Here is a 23,468-nt window from a genome sequence, read left to right as displayed (position 1 = left end):
CAGGGTGGGTTTACTGAGCGCTAGGGTAGGGTGGGGCTGGGTTGGGGATTTAGCATTTCCCAGAGAAGGCAGTAAGTAGTTTTCATCTCTCAGAAAAACAAATCGAATCAAAAAACCAAGAGCTGGCACCTGCAGGAATGTAGGTTATTGTTATCACGGGGATAACAATGTAGATAGACTACATCCATCACCCCCTCCAGATCCGACCTGGTCTTCACTGGGAAGGGCAGCTCAAACCCATGCAGGTCCATGTCCCTGGGGCCTCTGGCCACCACCATTCCATGCCAGTCCCACAGGCCCCCCTTCCCCCACTGAGTGCACAACAAGCTCCAGGCTGGGCCTTGGGGACTCAGGGCGGCTGGAACTCGGCACCACATGCGGGTAGGTAATTAATGAATGGACTTTCAAGGCTGCTCAGCATGGGTCCTGGGAAGGAGGTGGCCTGTGAAAAGGGTCTCCTCTGCGGCTCATTACAGCCACAGTATCGATTCTTCCATCATTATCAGAAGGCCTTCCTGCCATGTGAAATCCTGCCCCTTGATGTGTATTCACCAGGGACTACATCCCCCATTTCCACGAGCGCTCCTGGCCGCTAACAACCTTCCACGGGCTTTTTGAAAGTGCCAAAGTTTTCAGAGAAGTAAAAATGTATAGCACCTGCTCCATTCATCCCTCAAGAAAGAGCAACCCTACACACACACACACACACACCCCTAAAAAGCGCAAAGAAACAAACCAGGATTGTGCTGAATGTGGACCACCACATCAAAGTGTGCTTCTGAAAACTCAGCCACTTGCAAGAGAGCTAAACTTTCTCTGAGTCCTTTTCTTGAACAACCTTGGTGATGTGTGGGTCAGTTTGTTTTGTCTGTTGTCTCTTCTTAATGATAAAGGGACAAGTTTGGAGCTCAGCTAAGGGAGTGCTGGATTCGGGAAAATTCCACAACCCACTTTCCTCTTTCAAGCTGCCCTAACTCAGGGCCTGGAACACGTGAATTCCTCACTTAAATTCGCCTACCGTGCACCCTGCTTGGACAGCTTTTAACTGACCCCATTTCCCAGTCACCCCCGTATTTGGCAAAATCCTCTTGCTTCTCAATACCCGGCGCCCCATCTCTCTAGCTCGGTTTTAGCCTTCAATCTCTCCTTTGTATTTCTTCCTCTGTCTACGCCTGTCTCTTCCCAGTGTGTCTCTCTGCTCTCTGTCTCTGTGTGCGTCTCTGATTCTATCCTCTTCTCCCTACATGCCTACCTGGTACCTACCTTTAAGAGACGGCTTCACTTTCTTTCCGCCTTAAGGAACACCGCCCACCACCACCACAACTAACCTCCCCCTGACCTTACATCCCACCTCCCTCCCCGCAGGCCTCTGGACCCTGGAGTACAAGCGTGAGCTCACCACGCCCCTGTGCATCGCCGCGGCCCACGGCCACACCGCCTGCGTGCGACACCTGCTCGGCCGCGGCGCAGACCCAGACGCCAGCCCCGGCGGCCGCGGCGCCCTGCACGAGGCCTGCCTCGGGGGCCACACCGCCTGCGTCCGCCTGCTGCTGCAGCACCGCGCCGACCCCGACCTGCTCAGCGCCGAGGGCCTGGCGCCTCTGCACCTCTGCCGCACGGCCGCCTCGCTCGGGTAAGGACCTCGGGACAGGCCCGCGGCGTCCGCCCCGCCCCGAGACCAGACGCCCGCCTCCCCCCACGAGACCGCCGACCCCGCCTCCGCCTCCGTCCCAGCCCCCGCCTCCGGACCCAGACCCTGCACCCTTGACTCTGCCCACTGGATCCCCAGACCCGCATCCGCCCCGTCCCTACCCCGGCCCCTGCCTCGGGACCCAGATCCAAGATCCCTGACCCGGGACCCCAGACCTGGCACCTCCCGGCCCTCGCCCCGCGCCCCGGCCCCGGCCCCCGCCCCGCGCCCCGGCCCCGGCCCCCGCCCCGCGCCCCGGCCCCGGCCCCCGCCCCGCGCCCCGGCCCCGGCCCCCGCGGGTTTAATTAGCGCTTGATTGCGAGCGCGCGCGGGAGGCGCCACGCCGAGGTAATGAGCGCGGTGATCACAGCCCAGCCGCCGGCGCCGGGGATGCTAAAAGGCCACTGGCGGGGTTGGAGGCTGAAAAATTAGGGTTTTTAATGATAATTTTATGCAGAATAATTGTCACAGTGTGACATAAATGGTTAGCTCCTCGGGCGGGGCTTCCAGGCCCGCTCGGAAGCGGAGCTGTGCCGGCCTCTAGGGAGGCCCAGCGGCCGCTCAGCTAGTTCGCGCCCGGGCGCGGGGTCTGGGGGTCCCGCAGCCCCCGTCCCCAGAGAGCGCCCTCCCAGCGTGTGCTCCGGGTCTCGGAAAGGCAGCGGGGCCACCTGTCTTTGCACAGGACTCGTGTGGGGTTTCTCGGCTTGCATTGTGTCATCCTGACTTTTCTGTTAGTCAAAATGCTCCAGCCCCTGCCCTTGGAGTTGTCATTGCATGGCCTTCTGTCTCTGGGGGAAGATTAAGGAAAGTCGCCCACGTTTAGTGCTGGGAACCCGCGCGGCTCTCTCAGAAACCGCATCGCCCTTGCTGCTTCTCCACCGACTGTCAAAGTTGCCTGGATGTCCTGCCCAGCAGGGGCAGCAACGCAGGCAGGCGGGACTGCTGGGCATTCAGGGACTCAGGCAGGGGACCCACCTAAGAAAGGTCATTTGAGTTCAGAGGGGGGATCAGGGGGCCACGTGGACCCCCGCCAGTCTTGAGAAAGAGGAAGGAAACAAGGTTCTAGCAATGCTCTTTAAAAGCAGCTTTACCGAGGTGTGATTGACATTCAGCAAGCGGCACGTGTTTAAGGCGTACAATTTGATAAATTCCGCAGACTTATACACTCGTGCAACACCCCGCAGTCCATGGAGGGCAGATATTTATCATTCCCCCTGTGGCCTCACGGTGCCCACGGTTCTCCCTCCCACTGGCCCCTTTCTCACTCTCCATCCCTAGCATCTGCTTTCTATTACTTGGCTTAGTCTGAATTTTCTAGAATTTTGTATAAATGGAATCTGCAGTCTTTTATCTGGCTTCTCTCGCTCGACATAATTATTTTAAGATTCATCTGTGTTGCTGTGTGTGTCCGTAGTTCATTCCTTTTATTCCTGGGTAGCGGTCCGTGGTATGGATGAACCACAGTATGTTATGTTCATCCATTCAGATGTTGGGAGACATTTGATTGTTTCCAGTCTGGGTCTTTTACAAACAAAGTTATCATGCACATTTGTGTGCCAGCCTTTGAATGGGCATATGCTTTTATGCATTTTGAATAAATACCTAGGTCACACGGTATGATTAAGAACATAACTGTTAGGCTAGGTGCGGTGGCTCATGCCGGTAATCCCAACACTTTGGGAGGCTGAGACAGGCAGATCACTTGAGTCCGGGAGTTCAAGACCAGCCTGGGCAACACGGCAAAACCCCATCTCTACAAAAAATACAAAAATTACCCAGGCATGTTGGCATGCACCTGTAATCCCAGCTACTCAGGGGGCTGAGGTGGGAGGATCGCTTGAGCACAGGAGTAAGCCATGTTCACGCCACTGCACTCCAGCCTGGGTGACAGAGTTGAGACCCTGTCTCAAATAATAATAACAATAACTAATAAATGGCCCAACTAGTTTTGAAAGTTGTACCATTTTACATCCGCACCAGCGATGTCTGCATGTTCCAGTTGCTTTACAGCCTCACCAATACATGGTATGGTCAGGGCTTAATTGTATACATTCTAATAGGTGTGTACACATGTCTTGTTATAGTTTTGATTTTCATTTCCCTGGTAACTAGCGATGTTGAGCATTGTTTCATGAACTTACTTGCCATCCACATACAGTCATTTGTCGCTTAACGATGGGGATACATTCTCAGAAATGTGTTGTTTCATCATTGTGTAAACATCATAGAGTATATTTACACAAACCAGGATGGCATAGCCTACTGCCCACCTAGGCTATATGATTAAGCCTCTGGCTCCCAGGCTACAAACCTGGACAGCATGCTACTGTACTGAATACTGTAGGGAATTGTAACACAATGGGAAGTATTTGTGTATCTAAACATAGAAAACGTACAGTATAATCTTATGGGACCACTATTGTATATGTGGTCTGTTGTTGACCAAAACCATTGTTATAAGGGACATGACTGTATCTTCTTTGGTAAAGTGTCAGTTCAAATCTTTTGCCCATTTTTAAAATTGGGTTGGTTTTCTTATTTAAGTTTGAGGTTTCTTGGGATATTCTAGATATGAATCTCTTGTGAGATATGTGATTGATAAGTATTACCTGCCAGTCTCTGGCTTAGATTTTATTCTCTTAGCAATGTCTTTTGAAGAACAGAAGTTCTTAATTTTTATGGAGTCCAGTTTATCCATTTTTTCTCTTTTAAGGATTAGGTTGGGTTATGATATCTAAAAAAAAATCTGCCTAACCCAAGGTCATACAGATTTTCTCTTATATTTTCTTCTAGAAATTTCATAACTTTACATTTTACATTTAAGTCTGTGATCCATTTTGAGTTCATTTCTGAATATGATGTGAGGTAGGGATTGAAGCTTTTTTATTTATTTTTGCATGTGGATATCTGACAGTTCCAGCACTGTTAGTAGAAAATAAGTATTTGTGAATCTAAACCCTTCCTTTCTCCACCAAACGGTCTTTGCACCTTTGTCAAAAATGAATGGACTATATATGCGTGAGTTTATTTCTGAGCTCTCTTGTCAAGCATGTGCAAAGCAGGGCAAAGTCTGACTGGTTCACCTGGTGAAGACGTGAGGAGCCACTCTATTATATAAAGAGTGAAAGGAAGAGTAGCCAGTGGTGTTGGCTCCTCACAATCTTTATGCCACACACCAAAAAGGATAACACCTAGACAAAAGGGGCTGGATGATGTCAACACAAATTGAAGAATACCCCATTTCTGAGCAGCCATGCCTAGATCAGAGCTGAGAGGTTCACAGCCTGTATCTCTATTCTGAAGGGGCTGAAGCAGGAAGGTCCCTGCCTCCTCAGGATCCAGAAGGCATTGAGAAACCATCTCATAGCAGCCTCCTAGGGGACATAGCCAGGGGAGGGGGCAAGGGTCTTATAGCAACTCCTTACAAGCTTCCAACCCAGGAGTATCCAGGTGTTCTACCAAGACGTAGATTCAGTAGTGGTTCCAGTTTTGCTTTGTGGCCTATGTGGATATGTGCAGGGTCACCAAGGTGCCATGGCAGAGCCATCCCCCTTCATCTCTATTCTGTTTCATTGCTCTATTTGCCTGTTTTAACACCAATACCATACTGTCTTGAATATTGTAACTTTATAATAAATTTTGAAGTCAGGTAGTATAAGTTTTCAAGCATAGTTCTTCCTTCTTGAAGTTGTTTTGGCTATTCTAGCTCCTTTGCATTTCCAGATGAATTTTAGATTCAGTTCATCCATTTCTACAACATAGCTTCCTGGGTTATGTTGTCCAAATCTATAAATCAATTTGGAGAAAAATAAAAATAAAAATATTGAGGCTTTCAAATCATGCACACAATATACTCCTCCATTTATTTATTTCTTCCTTTTCTCAGCTGTGTTTGATAGTTTTTAGGGAACAAGGTTTGCATATATTTTGTAAGATTTATCCCTAATTATTTCATTTTTTGATGCTGTTGTCAACTGTATATTTAAATTTCCATTTCTGATTGTGTGTAACTACTATATGAAATTTATAATAATTTATTTTTGTATATTGACCTTGTATCCTATAACCCTTCTAAACTCACTGTTCTAGTAGAATTCCATAGGATTTCTTGTAAGCAATCATGTCGTCTACAAATAAATACAATTTTACTTCTTCTACAATCTAGATGCCTTTTATTACTTTTCCTTATTTTATTGCACTGGCTAGAACCTCCAGTGCAATGTTGAATAAAAGTGGTGAGAGCAGATAATTTTTCTTGTTCCTGTTGATCCTAAGGAAAACATTAATTCACCACTAAGTATGATATTAGCTGTAAAATTTTGCAGATTCCTTTTTTCAGAGATACAGAACTCCCTTCTGTTTCTAGTTTGCTGACAGTTTGTATGATGAATTAATATTGAATTTTCTCAAGTGCTTTTTCTACATATATGGAGATAATCATGAGGTATAAGTTTTGTCTGTTAATATAATAATTTATATTGATTAATTTTCAAATGTTAAACCAACCTTGCATTCCTGGGATAAACCACACTTGATCATGAGGAGTTATCCTTTTTTATATATTATTGGGTTTGGTTTGCTGGAAAAAATATTTAGTATCCGCATCTATGTTAATGAAAGATATTGGTCTGTAGTTTCATTTTCTTGTAATACCTTTGTCTGGTTTTGGCATCAGAGTAATGCTGGTCTCAGAAATAATTTGAGAAAAAATAATTTGAGAAGTATGCCCTTCTCTTCTATTTCCTGGAAGACCTTGTATAAAATTATGTCTTCCTTAAATGTTTGGTAGAATTCATCAGTAAAGCTATCTGGACATGTCTTTTTGTAATAAGGTTTTTAACTATGAATTTAATTTCTTTACTAGCTATAGGGCTACTCAGATTATTTCTTTTTTTTTGAGTGAGCTTTAATGCTTTAATAGTTTGTATTTTCTAAGAGACTGACCTCTTTCAGCTAAGTTGTTTAACTTATTGCCATAAAGTTGTTCCTTATTGTCCTTTTAAGAGCTGTAGATTCTATAGTGATATCACCTCTCTCATTCATGATACTAGAATTTGTCTTCTTTTCCCCCCAATAAGTCTTGCTTTTGGTTTCATTGTTTTTCTCTATTGTTTTTCTATTTCATTGATTTCCACTATACTCTCTATTATTCTTTCTTTGCTCACATTGAGTTTCATTGGCTCTTCTTTTCTAGTTTCTTAAGGTGGAAGCTAATGTCACTGAGTCAGGAACTTTCATGTTTTTTAATATAGGCTTTTAGTGCTATACATATCTCACTACATACTATTTTAGCTGAATCCCACAAATTTTAATATGTGTTTTTACTTTCGATCAGTTTTAAATACTTTCTAATTTTCTTTTTTTTTTTTTGAGTCATGGGTTATATAGAAGTATGTTATTGAGTTTCCAAATATGTGGGGATTTTCCAGATATCTTATGATTTCTAATTTAATTCCATTATGGCTAGAAAATTTACTTTGTATGACTTTAGTCCTTTTTAAATTTACTGAGAATTGTTTTATGATCCAAGATATGCTATACCTTGATAAATGTTTCATGTATACTAGAAAAGAATGTATATTCTGCAGTAGTTCAATGTAGTATTCTATAAATGTAAATTAAATCAAATTGCCTAACCATGTTGTTTAATATTTCTATATCCTTGCTGATTTTCATTGGACTTGTTTTACAAGTTATTGAAAGAAGAGTGTCAAACTCTCTAAGTATAATTGTGGATTTGTCTGTTTCTCTTTGCAGTTCTGTCAGTTTTTGTTTCAAGTAATTTGAAGCTCTATTATTAGGTACATAAATGCTTAGCATTATTCTGTCCTTTTGAAGAACTGACCTTTTTATCATTATGAAATTATTTATCTTTAGTAATATTCTTTGGTCTAGGCCAGGTGCAGTGGATCACACCAGTAATCCCAGCACTTTGGGAGGCCAAGGTTGGAGGATTGCTTGAGGCCAGGAGTTTGAGACCAGCCTGAGCAACATAGCGAGAACGCTTAGCCAGGGGTGATGATAATAAAAATGTATTTCTCACAGTCCTGGAGGCTGGGAAGTCCAAGATCAAGTTGCCAGCAGATTCATTGTCTGGTGAGGGCATGTTCTCTGCTTCCAAGATGGCATTGTGTTGCTTCCAAGATGGCATTGTGTTGCTGCATTGTCACATGGCAGAGGAGCAGAAAAAATGGAAGAGGCAAATTTAATCCCTCAAGCCCTTTTATAAGGGCACTAATCCCATCTATGAGGGCCTAATCACTTCCTAATGACCCACCTCTTAATACTATTACATTGGGAATTAAGTTTCAACATGAATTTTGGAGGGACACAAACATTTAAACCATAGCACTTGTCATGTGGACCTCTCTAACATGAAACTTGTTTCATCAAAGTATGCAAGCTGAGAAGACAATAGAGACAATCTGCTTGCAAGATGGAATTTACAATCTTCTGTAATTTATTCACCAAAACAACCTCCTGTCACCTTTGCAATAGTCCATTGGTTAGCGGCAAATCAAAGGTTCTGCCCACGCTCAAGGAGAGGAGAGAAGAGCATGGACACCAGAAGATAGACTTCAGTGGGGGACCATGCTAGATACTGCCTACCATACCATCCTTTCATTTTTTAACTTACCTGAGTCTTTATTTTTTAAGTGGGCTTCTTGTAGGCAGATTATAATTGAGTCTTGCTTTTTTTAATCCAATCTGACAGTCTCTGTTTTTTAACTGGGTGTAGATCATTCACATTTAATGTAATTTTGATATGGTTAGGTTCAAAACAAATGTCTATTTCTTTTCTATTTGGTTCATCTATTATTTGTTCTCTTTATCTTCTTTTCTACCTTTTATTCTGAACATTTTTAATGATTTCATTTTATCTCCTTTTTTGGCTTACTAGATATAACTTTTTGTTGTGTTAAGTGATTTCTTTCTGGTTTATAGTATACATCTTTATTTTATCACACTCTACCCTCAGGTAATACTATTCTACTTCATGTGTAGTATAAAAACTGTATGGCAGTATACTTCCATTTCTCTCCTCCTGGCCTTTGTGCTATTATTGGTAATATACATTTTACTTCTATACAAAAGTCCTGCAATACATTGCTATTATTTTTGTTTAAACAGAGGATTTTCTTTTAAATATATTGAAGTAATAAGAAACAAGTGTTTATGTTTACTCATATAGTTACCATTTCCACTTCCCTTCATTTATTTGTGTAGCTCCAAGATTCCATCTAGTATCATTTTCCTTCTGCTTGAAGTGCTTTCTTTAACATTTCTTGCACTGTATGTCTAATGGTAATGGGTCCTTTCAGTATTTGTATGTTTGAAAAAGTCTTTATTTCACCTGAGTATTTGAAAGGTATTTTTGCTGGGTAGAGCATTATGAGCTGACAGTTTGGTTTTTTATTTTCTTCTTATTTTTTCTGCACTTTAGACCCATAACTCTACTGTCTTCTAACTTAAATTTTTTAAAATGAGAAATCTACTATCCCCTTTTTATCTTCTCAAACAGGTGGAATATAGTTATAACAACTGTTTTAATGGCCCTGCCTACTAATTCTATCACCTGTGTCATTTCTGTGTCACTTATTTATTTATTGTAGAGTTGAGGTCTTGTTTTGCTGCCCAGGGTGGTCTCAAACTCCTAGTTTTATCTTTGTTCTTTTATAGCTAATAAATATCCTTTTATCTGGCTTTAAGATTTTCTCTAATCACTGGTTTTAAGCAATTTGGTTATGAGGTGCTTTGATGTAGTTTTATGTTTCTTTTTATTATTATTATTAAATGGTGTCTCACTCTGTTGCCCAGGCTGGAGTGCAGTGGCATGATCTCAGCTCACTGCAACCTCTGCTTCCCGGATTCACATGATTCTCCTGCCTCAGCCTCCCAGATAGCTGGGATTACAGGTGCATGCCACCACACCAGCTAATTTTTGTATGTTTAGTAGAGCCAGGATTTCACCATGTTGGCCAGGTTAGTCTTGAACCCCTGACCTCAGGTGATCTGCCCACCTTGGCCTCTCAAAGTGCTGGGATTAGAGGTGTGAGCCACCATGCCAGGCAAGTTTTCTTTATGTTTCTTATGCTTGGGATTCATTGAGTATCTTGGATCTGTGGGTTTATATGCTTTTCATCCAATTTGGAAATATTTTGGCAATTATTTCTTCACATTTTTTTTCTATACAACCAGTACTCTCCTTCAGGGACTCCAATTATACATATACTATGCCACTTAAGATTGTTCCACAGTTCACTGATGCTCTGTTCATTTTGCTCAGCCTCTCTCTCTGATTGATTGATTGATCTTCTCTTCTGAAATACCTGATCTGCCATGAACCTTATCCACTATATTTTTATCTCCAACATTGTAGTTTCAATTTCAGAATTCCAATCTTAGGACTTATATTTCTGTATTTTACTTAACATGGTCAGTCTTTCCTCTAGCTTCTCAAACAGGTGGAATATAGTTATAACAAGTGTTTTAATGGCCCTGCCTACTAATTCTATCACCTATGTCATTTCTGTGTCATTTATTTATTTATTGTAGAGTTGGGGTCTTGTTTTGCTGCCCAGGATGGTCTCAAACTCCTAGTTTCAAATGATTCTCCTGCCTCAGCCTCCCAAAGTGCTGGGATTACAGGCATAAGCCACTGCTCCCAGCCTCTGGGTCACTTTTGATTTTTTGGTTTTTTCTCTACATTTCATTGGGTGTTTGATATTTTTGTATTCCTGTCAATATTCTTGATCTCTGCTCTGGAATGTAAAGTTACTTGGAAATAGTTTGATCCTTTTGGGTCTTGCCTTTAAGCTTTATTAATCAGAAGTCAATCGGTGGTTAGTCTAAGGTTAATTTTTTTTTCTGCTACTGAGACAACTCTTTTTGGTACTCTCTCCATACCTAATTATTTATAAGGTTTCACACTTTGGTTGCTGAAACCAGCCACTATTCCTGAACCTGTGCATGTGATGAGCACTGCACCGTTTCTGTCCTAGAAACTTTCTGGTAGAAATCCACCAGCCCACACTCTCAACCTCTATGCACACAAAATATTTGACATATTTCAGTCGGTTCTAATCCTTCCTTTCAGGTGGCTCTTTCCACAGCTTAGGTAGTTTCCTCATGCCCACACACTAATTGGTATTGAGCTGAATAATCAAGGGGGCCCTCTGCAAAGTTCTTTCTGTGTGAAGCTTTCTCCTCTCCAGCACCCTACCCTACAAACTCCAGCTGTCCTGGCATCCCTAGACTTCCAGTGCCGTCTCCTCCACTCAGCTCACCAGGCTCTGCTGGGGTCCCCTTCATAGAACCCTCAGCCTGAGAGCCCAGAGGCCCTTTGGGAGGTTGAGAAATCCAATACTGCCAATCATATTGGGGAGTAAGTTCCAACCTTGTGACACATTTCCATCCTTGGCTACAAGCATTCTCCACTTTCCACCAGGAGGCTTTCTTTCCAACTATTCTTTAGACATGGATTAATTTCTACCTTGCATTCACTTCCAATTTTTGTTCTTGACTCATCTGATAGATGATTTGCTGGGATGTAAAAAGGTATCATCTTGTGAAAAAATTATAGAAATTCCATTTATTTTGAAACACACAGCTCCAAGGTCAACCAATATTGACTCCATTCCTGCAAGCATTCAATCACCAGTTATTGAACCCTGTAAGGGGCTGAGGCTGGGCTGCATTAGACATAGTCCCTGCCCTCAAAATGCTTGCAGTTTCAGGGAAGAGGAAGGTAATGCTATGGCAATGTGTCAAACATTGGACCAGAATATGTCAGATATATTGTATGCATGGAGGTTAAGAATGGGATGCCAGTGGATTTCTACCAGAAAGTTTCTAAGACAGAAAGAAGCATCAGCTTCATTAAAGGACATAAGCCAACCAAATCAATTGCAAAAGTCTTTCTACATACTAAGAAAAGAGGCAAAATTATTCAATTGTGTATTGATTGCATTCAAGTTTGATCACATTTTCATACTATACAATTTTATATCTACACATAGATATTTTACCACATTTGAGGCCCAGGTTGAATTCTAATTCCAACACTTACTAGCTGTGCAACATTGGACAAGTTATTTTTCTATGTCTCTGTGTTCTCACTTGTAAAATAGGGTTGATAATTGAGCCTACTACATAGGATGGTTATGAGAATTAAATGAATTACTATAGCTAATTTGCTTAGAAGAGCACCTAGCATATAGTAAGGAGCAGGTGCTGACTGCAATTGTTGGGGCCTCATGTCTAATCACTGTATTTCTTTTATAGGAATTGAAACTATATTTTACTATTTCAAATTCATTTGGGGGCTTGATGTTTCTTTCCTTTATCTCCATAGTTATTGGTCATTTATGATTTATTTGCTATAATGTCTCTAGTCAAGAACATAACTCCCCATTATAACATGTTCCTATGGAAAATATAACCCATTTGATGATATTCCAAGTCAGGGTATTCACCATTCCTCCCTCCCCGCCTTGCCAAAATGCATGGCTATATTTATTATTCTCTTGTTCAAAATTAAGTTCTTTAAATGCAACATGGTATCCTGTATTAGATCCTAAAACTGAACATGAACATTTGTGGGAAACATGGTAAAATCCAAATAAAGTCAACAGTTTGGTTAATAGTCTTGTACCATTGTTAATTTCTTAGTTTTGACAAATATACCATAATAATATTAGATATTAACTTTAGGGGAAGCTGGGTGAAGCGTATTCAGAAACTCTCTATGCTATCTTTGCAACTCCTCTGAAAATCTAAAATAATTTAAAAATAAAAAGGTTTTTAAAAATCAAGTCTGCTTCATACCTTGGGCCCCAACTCCTCTCCCACTTTAAAGGATCAGAAAAATATTGCTTCTTACTAAGAAATCAGAATGCAGCACCCAATCATAGCACAAAATAAACACAAAATGCTGTGAATCATTGCAACACTGCTGAAGAGACGCCAACAAGCTTACATTTGGACACCATAAGGAGCTGAGGCCATATGCAGACCACCAGAGCTACTCAGCTTACACACTGAACAATAGAATCTAATATCCTGGCTTCCGTTGGTTTTACAAAAATCATACAGGCCCAGGCCATTGTTTAATAAGGACTTTTTAAATGTCTTTTTATTAAAGTGGGGATTTAAAAAATCTCTCTTCTTCTGTCTTCCTCTTCTTCCTCCTCTTTCTTCTTTCTTGTTTCATTTTCTCTTCTCTGTGTCGCTCTATGGGAGTCTTTCCCTTTGGCTGTTTAATTTGACACTCTTGACTTATTTAAATCCAGATTATTGGGGGAAAGTTTAAGATAAGTGATGAATCAACCAGCATTTCAGGCAGAACTCTGTAACAGCTGACTTAGAATCCCTTCAATATCAATGATGATAATGGAATATGCTGGCAGGTCCCATTGAACACCTCTACAATAACACAGCCAACTACCTTGAAGGATAAAAAGTTAATAGATGTCGAAAGGGCCTGAGGTTTTGACCATGGCTTTTCAGCTCTAAAGAGTCCCCCTAAAGTCATACTCTGAGGAGGTCTGGCTTCAGGTAGTATAAACATTATCACTTTGACAAGAAAGAGCTACTTTCTCTGCAATCTTTTTAAACACAGTAGATTTTAGGTCATCCTTAATTTTTTTACCTCACAGTAGAGAGGGGGTCGCTGACCTACATACAGAGCCATTCCATTTTCTGACTCTTGATGACAATGGTCTCCACACCTAGGGACCCCGTTCTGCTCCATCCCCTTTTAGTTGGCAATTCGCCATGGGCACAGGACTTTAAAACCTTTGAGTCTCTGAGTTCCTGGGATTAAAAAAAAAAAATTACCTGTGCTTCCTTCCAACCAGCAAGCTTCAGAATTCAGAATTCAACACACTGAAAGGGATATCAGAGCTTTAATCTAGGAGCCTTTTGAAGAGATTTTCCCAAAAAGAAAAGTTACAGTAAAGTAACTGTGTTCACATTAGCAGCCTGCATGCCAGCCTCGCCCTATTTGTTATCAGATTCCTCTCCTTGACCCTTTTTATTCGAGATAATTAAAATAAGAAAAGAATGTGTTGACGCCCTATTCTTTTTCTTGTCTATAGCTGTCTCGATTTAAACAAAAGTGAGAATGACTTGCTTTCCTCACGGAATTTATTAATGAAAAGCATGCAAGTTTACTTTTTTGTCCCAGGTGTGTTAATTCAACTGAATGAAAAATAAATCATGTGGGCACAGTGGCTCCTGCCTGTAATCCCATCATTTTAGGAGGCCAAGGCTAGAGGATCGCTTGAGCCCAGGAGTTTGAGACCAGCCTGGGCAACATAGTGAGACCCCATCTCTGCAAAAATTAGCAAGGCATGGTGGCACACAACTGTAGTCTCAGCTACTTGGGAGGCTGAGTCTGGAGGATCACTTGAGCCCAGGAAGTCGAGGCTACAGTGAGTCATGATCATGTCACTGCACTGCAACCTGAGTGACAGAGTGAGACTCTGTCTTAAAAAAACAAAAAATAAATTAAAAATGATTCATGAGCTGGAGTTGGATCTATAAAAGCAGCTAATTATCTTATGGGTGGGGGGACCCAGCAGTCTCCACCTAAGAACAGGAAGTTCACCTGCCTGAGATGCCAGGCTCACAGGCATTGATACATAATCCAGAAAACAATACATTCTTTCCACATCCCAGGTGAGTGACTGATTGGTTATTCAAGTAGAGAGAAGAACATGGTCTTGTTTGATAGGACTTTAAGGCATCTTGAGGAATACTGAAGAATGAGATCTCAGAGAAGAATGAGATCTCAGAGAAGAATGAGATGTCAGAGAGAGGCGGCACCCAATAGATGATTTAATATTTGCAGAATGTCACACATTCCTGAGCATGTGCAAATGTCTTATTTCCTCTGAGCCTCTCAGGCCTGCAAGGCATGGTACACAGATTAGAAAACCAAGGCTCAGAGAGAGTCCGTGTTATGCCAGTAAGGTTGCACAGAACGGAAACCAGTAGAGCCAGGACCCAAAGCCAAAGGTTGTGAGAACAATGCTAAAAGATTGCATCTCCTTTGTTAACTGAAGTTTTTTTCCCAAAAACTGTCTGTAATCAGGAAGTAGCTCCACTTATCTCTGGCCACCTCCCTCCAAACATGCTGTGTTACAAGTGTGTCCCCTTCCCTGCCCCTCAATGGCATCCCAGGTACATTCTTCAGCTTTCTGGTCACTTGGCAAGTCCCATTTTAATATCCAAAAGCCAGTCCAGGCCAAATCAAAACTTTACACTCAGGGCAAAAGCCTCGATCAGACACTTTATGAACAACATACAAATGGCCAATAAGCAAATGAAAAGGTGTTCAACATCATTAATCATCAAGGACATGCAAATGAGACCACAAATAAATATTCACCATTTCACATGCATTAGAATGGCTAAAAAAAAAAAAAAAAAAAAAAAAAAAAACCTGACAACACCAAATGTTGACAAGATCAGGGAGCAACTAGAACTTTCATACATAGTTTTGGGTGGGTAAAATGATATCTCTTTGGAAAACTGGCAGTTTCTTACAAAGTTAAATACATACCTACCAGTAATTCCATTTTTAGGTGTTTACCTAAGAAAAATGGGAACATATGTCCCCAGGAAGACTTATACAAAAACGTTCATAGAAGCTTTATTTATAATAGTCAAAAAATAGAAACATGCAAATGTCCATCAATATCAATGGGAAAATGGCTTAAAATTGTGGTATATCCATACAATTGAATATGACTCAGCAATTTAAAAAAAGAATGAATTACTCCATGCAGGCAACAGTATGGATGAATGTGAACAGCATGATGCTGAGCAAAAGAAGCCAGATACAAAAAAGTGGAAAATTTTAGAAAATGCAAAACTAACCCACTGTGAGAAAAATCAGCACAGTGGTTGCCTACGGGGGTTATGACTGACTGGTGGTAAACACAGGAGAAATTCCTGGCAAAATGGAAATATTCTATGTCTTCATTGAGGTATTGGTTACATAGGTATATTCCTTTGTTGAAATTCATTCAATTGTGCTCTTAAGACCTGTGCATTTCTGCGTGTGTACCTCACAGAAGTTATTGTATTAAAATATACATACATACCTACATGCATACAATGTTTCTCTCATCCAGTTTAAAGCTCCCCCCACCTCACCCCTATCCCTGTCTAAGAAGCTAATAGAGTCTTTTCTTTTCCATTTCCTCCTTTTCTTTCCACTCACTCTGATGCTACTGGGTCTTCCTCTTCACCTAGTATATTGGGACCAGGGGATGAGAGAAAGAGAAAGAAATGTTATGCATGCCTTACTGAGGAAGGCACACCAATGAAGCTTCTAGAAAGTCAAATGCTGCTTAGTGGGCATGTGAAGTGTATTAGGCCATTCTTGCACTGCTATAAAGAAATACTTGACACTGTGAAAGTTATAAGAAAAAAAGCTTAATTGGCTCACAGTTCTGCAGGCTGTACAGGAAGCATAATGCTGGGATCTGCTTCTGGGGAGGCCTCAGGAAGCTTTTTACTCATGGCAGAAGGCAAACAGCAAGCAGGCACACCACACAGTGAAAGCAGGAACAGGGATGGGGGGTGTCACACACCTTTTTTTGGAGACGGAGTCTCGCTCTGTCACCCAGGCTGGAGTGCTGTGGCACCATCTCAGCTCACTGCAACCTCCACCTCCAGGGCTCAAGTGAGTCTCCTGCTTCAGCTTCCCAAGTAGCTGGGACTACAGGTGTGCGCCACCACACCCATCTAATTTTTGTATTTTTAGTAGAGATAGGGTTTCACCATGTTGGCCAGGCTGGTCTCAAACTCCTGAACTCAGGTGATCCACATACCTCGGCCTCCCAAAGTGTTGGGATTACAGGCGTGAGCCACCACACCTGGCTGCCACATGCTTTTAAACAGCCAGATCACCCATGAACTCGCTATCGTGAGGAAAGCACCAAGGGGATGGTACTAAACCATTCGTGAGAGACCTACCCCCATGAACCAACCACCTCCCACCAGGCCCCATCCTGCCCCCAGCATTGGGGATTACATTTCAATATGAGATTTCAGCAGTGATAAATATCCAAACTATATCATGGGGCACACAGTGGAGCTGACTGTACAAATCTTGTTCACTAAATCATTTTTCAGTTTGCCAAGTTTCCATTTACAATGGGGAGAGAATTTGCCCAAAATATCATCATCCACTGCAATCATCCCACACTTCAGAAAAACATAAGATGGCTGGCAGCCATTGCTCCAAGGGAAACCGTGATGATAGAAATGGCCAACCAGTTTCTCTTCTCAGTCGCCCTCCTACCCTGAAGGATTTGTCTATTCACATCAGCCATTTCAATTGTAAACATTTATGTCTGATAGTCTCATAGCTTAGCATCCCGGGAGAGAGGGAGAGAAAAGAAAATGCAGAACAGAAAGGGGTAGATGGAAGATCCCCAAAGGAAAGCCTCAGCAGAAGGTCCAGGGAAATAAAGTGGAACCGCTCCTCCATCAAAGTCGTGGAGCTGTGGCTTCCCCGTCCTTCATCGGAGTCAGCTGGGGCATAGAGCCACAGGAGGAAACCTTCCTGCAGCAGCTTCGTTAGAAAACACGGCTCTGTTTTCCTCCCAAGGCTCCCCTGCAACCTTGCCCCCATAGGCTGGCACATGCCCAGCACCCACCCTGGGACCCAGCCTTCAGCTGCAGCCACCCTTCCCCTGGGACATGTCTCTAGCCCATCTGCCTCCGTGTCATCTCTGAGGAGGAAAAGCAGCAGTAACAGTAATTCAACAAGACGAGCTCATAACACCCATTACCCCCACTGAACACACTGTGTAGTGCTCAACCCCTTCTGTCTGTCAGAAGGGATTCCAGGAGCAGTCACATAAGGAGAACAGGAGAGGGAGCTCAGGATTGCCCAAGGACTCCGGTGACTTAAGGAGACAGATGCTGTATTAGTCCGTTTTCACGCTTCTGATAAAGACATACCTGAGACTGGGCAATTTACAAAAGAAAGAGGTTTATTGGACTTACTGTTCCATGTGGCTGGGGAGGTGGAAGGTGAAAGGCAGCAGCAAGAGAGAGAATGAGAACCAAGCAAAAGGGGTTTCCCCTTATCAAACCATCAGATCTCATGAGACTTATTCACTACCAAGAGAACAGTATGAAGGAAACCACCCCCATGATTCAATTATCTCCCACCGGGTCCCTCCCACAACACATGGGAATTATGGGAGTAAAACTCAAGGTGAGATTTGGGTGGGGACACAACCAAACCATATGAGATGTTTAACATTACTAACAAAATGTTCAGAAGCAATGTCCCTTTCCCCACTCACACACAAAAGGTGACGTTTGAGTCTTGAATGCAGCCTTATTTTTAGCAGCTGTTTGTTGTTGTTGTTGTTGTTGTTGCATTGCTCAGTCAGCATCATCTTTTGGTGGTTGTGGAGTCCTTGTATTCACCACTGGATAGTGGGGGCTGGAGTTCATATCCCAAACAGGACACACTGACTGCAAGGCCACCATCCTCTGCCGGGCCCTGCCCTTTAGACCACTGCTTAAACCTCAAAGATGAACTCCTCACCAAAAAGGAGGGAGGATGCCATCTACCGTGCCAGGTAGCTAGGAGGACTGGGTGAGAACCGGTTACTGTGCCACCCCGTAGAATGAGGTCCATGGGTCGCCTTGCCCTGCCTTCAGTGTCCTGTCGGTGAGTCTGTCCAGGAATTCCTGTGGAGTGATAAGAGGAGAAACACTTCTCCTTACCTCGAAAGGAGCATGGCACATGTTCTCTGCTTATTGAATGAATGAAAAGGTCACTCATAACTTGTGGAAAACGCCTAGAACAGAACCTGCCTCAGAGAAGGTGCTTAACAAATAAAACCAGTGGGAAGGGGCAGTGGAGGGGTGTGTGACTGACAGTGGGAAGCCTCATGAAGCAACGAGACCTCTGCTTTGCCACTTCCTGCCTTATGCATGTCACTGGCCTTTTAAGCCTCAATTTCCCCAACTGTAAATTCCACCTACAATGCAAAGTTGTTTCAGGGACTAAAGATAAATAGTTGTTTAAAAAAAAAAAAAAAGGCCAAGTACTGGGGAATCCAAAAGACCTTTCAGTTCAGAACCAGGAGGCAGAGAAGCAGCATTTCCAGGGCTTTGAATAAAGAGGGTGATCAGGAGGCAGGGGAGACGAGAGAGTGGAAGCCTGGACAGGCTCTGGCTGAGAGAAGAGGTATCTGGGCAGAGCATGCAGGGAGCATGGAGGCTTGGCAGGCAGCTGAGACAGGTGGGAGCAGGTGGGTGAGACAGGTGGGTAAAGGAAGGAGGAAACAGTGGGAGAGCCCAGGCTGAGGCCTCCAGGCCTTGTGCCCTGGGAAGGGACTAGGAAAAGCCAGTGCTTTGGGAAGGTGCTGGAGGGTGGATGGGAGGGTGTGCAGGGAGTGGCCAAAGTCCCACATCCCCCCACCCCATAGACATGAATTGGAATGACATTGATTCAACAGTCCTTGATGGGTTCATCTCTATTAACTCCTGCCTTTTGGCTCAAGTTACTTTTTCTTTCTGCTGTTAACCCTGGGCCCCTGTAACAACCTGTCATTGCAGTCATTATCGAAAACAGAGATGAGGCACCCAGAGATTAATGTGTTTGTCCAAGTTGCTTCATATCAGAAGCTGTTGAGACAACATGGTGTCTCCTTAATCCTTGCAAGATAAAGACAAAGTTGTTCTGACATCCTCAGATGGGAATTCTACCCTTAGATCCCAACGGTGACTGTTCTACCCTGACCCCAGGCCTTTCTGACTTTTGCCTTTCTATCAGGACAGCAGGAAACCCACTCACAAAATCTTGCCTTGGAGTAAAAGGCTCAGCCAAGGCTGGGTCCCAGACATAGACCTGCAAAGGCTTCAGGGATGCTTTCCCTACTGAGCTATTTCTTCTTCCACTGGTGGCATTGATACAGAGAAGGCAATGAAATGACAAACAGTAAGCTTTCCCCACTGGGCCATTTCTTCCACTGGTGACGTTGATAGGAGGGATTGAAATGATAGTGTTTCAAGGATGGGCCTGGGTCCTGGGGTCAGGTCTGAGAGGTCCCCACGATTGTTATCACTGAGTAGCTCCCAGCCAGCCCAGGCCTCTCCTCTCCTCACCTTCTCATGGGCATTGCCATACATACGTTCCAAAATGCTGCTTATACCTAAACAGATTGATGGAAATTTCAAGCGTATTCTGGGAACCTGGAAAGCCAAAGGGATATTCTTAGGATCCAGGAGCTGTTGCTGGAGCAGGTGGGGATGGTTTTGTTATTAATAACCTCTGTTGTGGTTCTTGTATCAAACTGCACCTTGACTTATTTTGGATAACTTGAAAAACGCATGCAGGCAAAAAGGAAACAAGCTCCCACTATGCCCATCATCCAGAGATAAACACACATTGCCCTCTAAATTTCTAGGTTTTTTGGCAGGGCACGGTGGCTCATGCCTGTAATCTCAACACTTTGAGAGGCCAAGGTAGGAGGATCACTTAAGCCCAGGAGTTTGAGAGCAGCCTGGGAAACATAGCAAGACCCTGTCAATACAAAAATAAAACAAAAAAAAATTAGCCAAGCATGGGGGCACTCGGCTATAGTCCCAGCTACTTGGGAGACTGAGGCAGGAGGATTGCTGGAGCCCAGAAGTTCAGGGCTGCAGTGAGCCATGATCACGCCACTGCACTCCAGGCTAGATGATAGAGCAAGACCCTGTCTCTAAAAAAATTAATTAAAATTAAAATTAAAATCAATTAAAAAATAAAATGAAAAATTTCTGGTTTCTTTTTCTTTTTTTTTTTTTTTTTTTGAGATGGAGTCTCATTCTGTCACTCAGGCTAGAGTGCAGTGGTGTGATCTTGGCTCACTGCAAGCTCCGCCTCCCAGGTTCACGCCATTCTCCTGCCTCAGCCTCCCCAGTAGCTGAGACTACATGCACCCACCACCACACCTAGCTAATTTTTTGTATTTTTAGTAGAGACGGGGTTTCACCATGTTAGCCAGGATGGTCTCTATCTCCTGACCTCGCAATCCGCCGGCCTTGGCCTCCCAAAGTGCTGGAATTACAGGCGTGAACCACCACATCCGGCCAATTTCTGGTATTCTTCATATACGCATAGATATATTTAAGCTTTTTCAAAATGGGACTGTACAGTGGTGCTATTTTGTAACCTGATCTGTTCACATCCACTGCAAATGTATTTCCATGCCATTAAATAGGCTCTCACACCTTCATTTTTAATGACTGCCACCGTGTACCAGCAGACGTGCCCCAGTCAATTTGTTGTTTCTTTCCCATGCCCGTGGTTCTGCTACTTAAATCATTGCCCACTCTAAAAAAGTGCCAAGGTTTAGCCAACTAGAAGCTCTTCATTAAAAATGAAAAGAGCATCTGCAGCCCTCCAGAGGGTGGGCCAGTGTCCTCATTCCTCTGAAAGGTATCTGTGTTGCAGATAGCAGCCTGGCCATTAGCCAGCTAGGCTGTGCACGTGGAAAAGCCTGGCCATTACCCAGCTATAGGCTGTGCACGTGGAAAAGGGGACTGGTCATATTTCCCTGTGGACTTCTTTAGAGAGGCTGAGCTGCTTAAAAAAATTTTTTCTTTAAAAAGAAGAAAATGTTTTGTAATTGTTTGCAAGTGCACACAGGCTCAGTGGCAAAACGAGAAGGAACCCTTGATTTCTAACGTCCTGCTGCACTGTTCAAAATTCCTCCCAGAGAAGCAAATAGGAAGCAAAGTGAAGCGCTCTGACTGTAAAATTTGCATCCTCCCTTAGCCAGTCCTGGTCCCAAAGGACTCCACATCAAACTGTACTTGTTTGTAAAGATCTTTCACTCAAGACAGACCACTTCTCAAGACACTGCTGATGTAGAAACGAGACAATCCAAAGGGAGAATTTAAAATACTGAGAGCCTCTAGGTAAAAATATAAATGGATTTAAGGGCAGCCGGGAAACCCTCAATGGATGATCTTGTTCAGAGCCCCAGTTAGGTTAATATAGTAGGAAAAGCAGCGGCAATATAAAGAAAAGCTGAAAGATGTTAATTAATGGAATGTGTTTGTTCAATATGTTTTTAGGGAATACCAATAGTGTGATAGGCACTATGATAGGCACTGGGAATCAGAGATAAACAAAGCCTCCATTTCTACACCCAAGGAGTTGAAGGTGCCAAGATTTATTTTTTTTTTTTTTTGAGACAGAGTCTCGCTCTGTTGCCCCCAGGCTGGATGGAGTTCAGGGGCACGATCTTGGCTCACTGCAACCTCCACCTCCCGGGTTTAAGTGATTCTCCTGCCTCAGCCTCCCGAGTGGCTGGGATTACATGCATCCACCACTATGCCCGGCTAATTTTATATTTTTAGTAGAGATGGGTTTTCACCATGTTGGCCAGGCTGTTCTCAAACTCCTGACCTCAGGTGATCCACTCACCTCAGACTCCCAAAGTGCTGGGATTACCGGCATGAGCCACCGCGCCTGGCCCAACAAATATTTGAAATATGGGGTGACCAATGTGCCTGGGCACATAGTGCAAGACATGTGACAACACAGAGGTGTGACCCCTCTACCTGGTGGCACAGGAAGGCTTCCAAGAGGAAGGAAAGATGGGACTGTGTGGGCCATCACGTGCAGCGGGGCAACCTGGAAGGAGCAAGCAGAGGGCATGGGGGCATGGCACGGCAGAGTGTGCTCTCAGCACCATACCTGGTCAGGCAGAATTGAAGCATGGAGAGGCGGCGCCTCAGGAGGTGAACCCGGTGAGCCCCCAGGAGCTGGATCATGATGTGTCCTGGGTCCTGAAGAGAGCAGTGTGGGCTTCGCCCAGCAGGCAGGGGGAGTGGTGGGGTTGTTGGCAGGCACATTTGATTGGCACTGGAAAGGCTCTTTCCAGATAGTATGCAGTTTGCTAGATTGCAGCAAGGGGCAAATGAAGAGACTTATAAGCATTCCGAGAAACGATGTGGCCTCAACAAAGGACAGTGACACTGGGAGTGGAGGGAGGAAGCAGTTCAGGTGATGAGATGGCTCAGTGACCAGTTGAAATGGGGCAGGGAAATAGAAAGACAGGAAAATGGCAAGAAGCAAGTCATCTAGAGCAAGACCCCAAATAAGCCAAAGACGACTAACTCTGGGCCAAGATGATCAAGAGGGAGTGCCTTCCTTAGGCCTGGGGAAGAGGGAGGCAACAGCTGTTGTCAAAACAGATTCTAATCAGTGTTGAAACAGATGTGTTTGCAGAAGGCAGGCAGGTGAGGGAGTTCCTGGGAGCTGCACCCTGAATGAAGCTGATGTAGACAGCTGAAAAGGAAGAGGGCGGAAGCTTGAGGACCAAGGTCAACATTAGGAGTGGTTAGTGGAGAGCAAGGCATGAGGAGGTGGCCTTAACACTGAAAGATATCAGTTAACTGAGGCCCAGCTGAGACCAAGGCCAGCTCCATGAAGGCTGCGTCCTCCAACAGGGCTCGGCAGACCCGCAGAGAAAAGGAGGGGGGTGAAGAATGGACTCCGGCTTGAAGATTCGGCCATTTGAGTAGGGGATGGCCATGGTCCCCTCCATTCAAGGGAACTGAGGATGCAGATGACGAGGTGACCACAGTGCTGCCCAGGAAAGGAACTGAAGCCAGGAAGGGTAGAGAGAAACGAGAGGTCCAGGGCTCAGGTCTCCATAGAGCAAAGATGGCAAGTAGGACCAACAGGCATTGGGGAGCTAGAGGACTAGGGCTGTAGTCTGAAGTCGGCATGTTTGCAGACTTC

At 43.8% G+C, this 23,468-nt stretch overlaps 1 protein-coding gene and 1 long non-coding RNA gene across 2 annotated transcripts in view, besides 1 other annotated feature; one reads left to right on the top strand and one right to left on the bottom strand.

Annotated features, from left to right (window-relative positions):
* ASB18 (ankyrin repeat and SOCS box containing 18) overlaps positions 1–23,468 on the top strand; it is a 70,948-nt gene that overhangs the window by 25,085 nt on the left and 22,395 nt on the right. The window contains exon 3 of the mRNA NM_212556.4: positions 1,366–1,633. Coding sequence (NP_997721.2) covers positions 1,366–1,633 — 268 coding nt within the window. The remainder of the gene's footprint in view (positions 1–1,365; positions 1,634–23,468) is intronic.
* Positions 185–815: an enhancer, noted in NCBI's record as "H3K4me1 hESC enhancer chr2:237147150-237147780 (GRCh37/hg19 assembly coordinates)". NCBI's record gives its function as "activates a minimal SCP1, AML or CMV promoter by ChIP-STARR-seq in naive H9 embryonic stem cells {active_cell/tissue: H9 hESC(naive)}" and the evidence as "EXISTENCE:reporter gene assay evidence [ECO:0000049][PMID:30033119]".
* Positions 17,686–22,684, bottom strand: LOC124908000 (uncharacterized). Its single transcript, XR_007088137.1, has 2 exons — positions 22,419–22,684; positions 17,686–18,415 (listed from the first exon to the last, which is right to left on the bottom strand). It is a non-coding gene; the product is annotated as an uncharacterized LOC124908000 (long non-coding RNA).

Source organism: Homo sapiens, chromosome 2 (genome assembly GCF_000001405.40).
Source record: "Homo sapiens chromosome 2, GRCh38.p14 Primary Assembly".
In the NCBI taxonomy this organism is placed as follows: Eukaryota; Metazoa; Chordata; class Mammalia; order Primates; family Hominidae; genus Homo; species Homo sapiens.
The sequence above is the reverse complement of the archived record's forward strand: the minus strand, read 5'-3'. Positions and strand labels throughout refer to the sequence as shown.